Genomic DNA, 4,855 nt, shown 5'->3' on the forward strand with positions numbered 1-4,855 from the left:
GGCCAACCTCATATTCAAGAGGTAGAGAAATAAACTTTACCTTGTGATTGGGAAACTACCAATTAACATTGCAAAGGAATGTGTATACATAAGAACAGATGTGATATGGTTTGCTGTGTCCCCACCCAAAACTCATCTTGAATTGTAGTTCCCATAATCCCCACATGTGGTAGGAGGAACCTGATGGAAGGTAATTGAATCATGGGGGTGGTTACCCTTATGCTCTTCTCATGAAAGTGAGTTCTCACAAGATCTGATGGTTTTATAAGGGGCTTTTCCCTCTTTGCTCGGCACTTCTCCTTTTTGATGCCCTGTGAAGAAGGATGTGTTTGCTTCTCCTTCTGCCATGATTGTAAGTTTCCTTAAGCCTCCACAGCTATGCGGAACTGTGAGTCAATTAAACCTCTTTCCTTTATAAATCTCCCAGTCTCGGGTAAGTCTTTCTCAGCAGCGTGAGAACAGACTAATACAACATGGAATTTGTGGAAACTGTTTTTACAATCAACAACACTTGGGAAGATTTTAAACATGGAAGAGACGTGATCAGATCTGCATTATAGAAACAGTACCCTGGTGATTCTATACAGAATTAATGGGAAAGTAGCTTCACTGGACACAGAGAGGCTGTGAAGAAGCTCTTTCCACAACCCTCCCAGGCAGTGGGAGTCCAAGGAAAATGTGTGAGTAAGAATCTGAAAGGTAACAGCCAGAGGGGTAGAAGGAAAGCCACTTATGAAAAGTGAGGGGAGGGGAAAGGTTCATAGATGATTGAAATGTCAGAAATTATAAAGAAAACCTTGGGCAGAAAGGTAGCTCTTGAAATTGGCAACAGGGAGGTTAATGACATCCCTTCTGGAATACTCTGAGAGTTGGGGGTGGTTGAGGAATTTAGAAGTTTAATGAATTAAAGGATTCCAGAATGTGCTAAATCTACATAGAAAGACTCCAGAGGTGCAAGGCTGCTTGTGGTTCCCCTCGACTGAGGAAGGTTAGTATTGCAAATCCCCACAGTGGCTGTGTGCTTTCACGTGCAGGTGACCAGAACAGGGTGGACAAACAGACTCCACTGCAGATGAGGGAACCTGATGAAAGAACATGTCTCACCCAGGGAGCATTTTCCAGTAAGAAATTCCCTGTTTTTATCCTTGAGCAGTGAGTAGAAAGGTAATGAATAGGATCAGTGGTGACTACTCAGGGAAAGGTGTAGCCCTGCTCATCCTTCCACTCTCAAACCATCTTTCCCTCTTGCCCTCAGCCGCAGCTTCCTCCATGCCTGCTCTTCCACCACCCTCAGCACACACTGCTTTCTGGCTGGCACACTCTTGTCTGGCAGTAAAATTTAGTGGTTGAATGAGGCTCTGGGCTGAATTACTGACCTTGAATTCTATTGCGACTCTTGTGAGTTGTGTGACCTAGGCCAGTGTGCTTAACATCTCCAGTCCTCAGCTTTCCTAAGCATAAAATAGTAAGTGCCTAGCTTGCCATAAGGATTCAGTAATTAGCTGCTATCAGTATTATTACTTTCTAAAGCTTGTACTGCCTTGTGGAGTTCCAATTTGAGACACAACGAGTAAGAATGAGAACAGGGCCTTCATGGAGCTCCTGTTCTGGACTAGACTGTGAGGATTCCAGCTCTTTCTCCCTTTGGCTGTAAGCTTTTTTGTGCTTCACTTTTCTCATCTGTAAAATGGGAATTACAGCAGTAACTTCCTTTGCTGGGTTGCTGTGAGGGCTGAATAAGAATTAGTAAAACCTAGGCTTATCTCCAAGGGGCAGGAAATCTGCAATCACAGTTAGTTAAATCTGATAGATGTTTACATCTCTTTCATGTAAAAGCCCAAAGGCCAATTGTCTGGGGCCTGTAGGACAGCTCTGCTCTGTAGGATCCTCAGAGTCCTGGCTGCCTTCCTTATCACTAAAAATCATCCTTTAATTTTCGTGGTCCAAGATGGCTCTCCAGTCATCTAACCAATGCTCCAAGTAATGGAAGGGAGGAAAAGCATGACAAAGAACTGAAGAGTAACTAACTTTGCACTGTCTTTTAAGGAAGTTTCCAGAAAGCAGCCATAGGACACCTGTAGTAATACCTCATTGACTAGAAATTAGTCATGTGACTTTATCAGTCAGAGAAGAGGTAAGAAAATGAAAGTTTTATTCTGTCCAGCCATGAACCACCTAAAAATGCTATTCCTTTAGATGAAGGTAAGAATGAGTGCTGGAGAGACAGCTACTTTGCTGAGACACGTTTACCATTTAGTCCTTGGCACACAGTAAGTGTATAACCAACGTCCATTACCATCATCATTATCATCATTATCCATCTACACACACTTGCTCATATGAAGACCATGTGGCTTCCTCAGAAGAAAGTCTCTCAGCTCTAAAGTTCCTGGGATTTCACTGTTTGGGTCCACAATTATTGTGTTTGAAAGGCTAGGTGTATTCTCCAGGACATCCCTCCTAAGGCTTCTCCCATGTGTTTAAAAATTATCTGAAGAAGATAGATAAAATTGTTATTTCTGTAAATTAAGACATACACTCTTTAAAATGCTTTGGGATGGAAATATTTGTGGTCTTTTTGGTTTAAAATACAGTCTAGTCTCCTAATTGAATAGAAAGATCAGTACATAGTTTAAAAAAATACCTGAAGGGAAGATATTTTACCTGAATAAATTACGTATGAAAGAAAAAAAAGTTGGTAGAATGAAATGGAAAGCTGCATAAATAATAGAGTGTTTGAAAATGGGATTTTCCTCTTAACTCAAGTAAGACATTCTGTTCAGGAACTATCACCAAATTGGGAGTGTGCGTGTACGTTTTGAATCAGAAACTTCAAAGGGAATATGAAACTTCAGAGCCGGCCGGGCGCGGTGGCTCACGCCTGTAATCCCAGCACTTTGGGAGGCCAAGGTGGGTGGATCACCTGAGGTCAGGAGTTCGAGACCAGCCTGACCAATATGGAGAAACCCCGTCTCTACTAAAAATACAAAATTAGCTGGGTGTGGTGGTGCATGCCTGTAATCCCAGCTACTTGGGAGGCTGGGGCAGGAGAATCGCTTGAACCCAGGAGGCGGAGGTTGCAGTGAGCCGAGATCGCACCACTGAGATCCAGCCTGGGCAACAAAAGCGAAACTCCAAAAAAAAAAAAAAAAAAGAAAAAAAAACAGGCAGTCTTTAAGGATTTTTTATTGAAGAATTCCAAATGTGTAAAAGTTTTTAAAACACACTAATTTATATTTAAAGAAACCATAGAAAGTGACTGACTCATCAGAAATAATCTCAAGAAATGGGAAAATTCAGTTAATACTATTGAAACACTACTAAGATGATTCCAGGAAACGTGGTTTATACAATAGAATAAAACGTCTTATATGCTGTAGGATAAGAAAACTGACTGTTTTTTGGTTTTTAAAGTGGTGTAATAATTAACTGTATTTAATTCTGTTCTTTTCATAAATTCATGACTAAATAAATATTAATATACCAAATAATAAATGAATATATCTTCTCTTTCAATGTTTCTTAAAGAGATTTTTATTTGTTTTGTTTTTTTCTGAGAGGTTTTTTATTCACAAGTGGAACAACAACCTATCCAAAGGGAACTGATGATCTATTGGTTCTTAGTGCTAACAATGAGTTTAGGATGGCAGCAACTGTTATATCTAAAATATGCAACAGATAAAATTCCCAAAGATCCATGCAAAAAGCTCTACTATGCAGATGACCACAGAAATGCAACATTTGACACTTTTACTGGCAATGTCAATGAGACTCCAGATGTTCCCAAACTCTGCTACTCTACTTGACCCTCATTTTTGCCTTTGTATTTTGCTTTTCCAATTTTACTAATGACACAAACATGATTCAAATCCTTAAAGTATTAATTATAGTCAAGGACATATCCTACAACAAATTGGTCTGGAATTTCACATCCATCTCTGTCTGGTCTGTACCCAAAAGTTCTGGTGCATATCCATCTGGCAATGTTGATCATCTTTGGATTATACTGCTTGGTCAAGGAAGGCCAGGTTTGCATTGTTTTGTCAGGGTAAATTGTATCTTTTTCAATCAAGACATTCTTCTCATTCCCATCGAGATTGAGGATAGTGAAAATAAAGTAATTTTTTAAAAAAGATATTCTTTCCAGTTAAAGTTGTAAAATCATCTTCCTAAATTACTTTTCTGCCCGAATTGACTGGCCATTACAGTAACTGTTTGATCTGATAAAATCTGCAGTCATAGAATGGATATGTCCTTATTTCTGCTAAGTGCTTTGCTATTCAGCAAATCAGCAAAGAATTTATGGTCTCTTGGCATGTGCAGAGGGCTGCAATCTGATTGCCTCCTACCTCCACAGAATTTCAAGAACAAGCCATTTTGTCCCATCTGTGATTAATCCATGAGGAATAAATATCTTTTCTAAATCCTCAAAATAATGATTAGATATAGAAAACCAGCTGGGTGTGGTGGCTCATGCCTGTAATCCTAGCACTTGGGAGGCTGAGGTGGGAGGATCACCCAAGGTCAGGAGTTCAAAACCATCCTGGCCAACATGGTGAAACCCTGTCTCTACTAAAAATACAAAAATTAGCCAGGTGTGGTGGTGGGCACCTGTAATCCCAGCTACTCAGGAGGTTGAGGCAGGAGAATTGCTTGAACCCAGGAGGCAGAGGTTGCAATGAGCCGAGATCGTGCCACTACACTCCAGCCTGGTCAATAGAGTGACACCTGTCTTAAAAAAAAAAAAAGAAAACCAATCTAGGTCATAACCATGATGTGGAGCTGTGGGCCACCATGATAAAACTGGCTAAAAGGAGGAGCATGAAAGGGTACCTTAAACTAGGTGTTTGAAATT

General features: G+C 40.3%; 1 pseudogene; it reads right to left on the reverse strand.

The window, feature by feature from the left end:
• On the reverse strand, positions 3,622-4,081 carry HPRT1P1 (hypoxanthine phosphoribosyltransferase 1 pseudogene 1; annotated as a pseudogene).

This window comes from Homo sapiens, chromosome 4, assembly GCF_000001405.40.
Source record: "Homo sapiens chromosome 4, GRCh38.p14 Primary Assembly".
Taxonomy (NCBI): domain Eukaryota; kingdom Metazoa; phylum Chordata; class Mammalia; order Primates; family Hominidae; genus Homo; species Homo sapiens.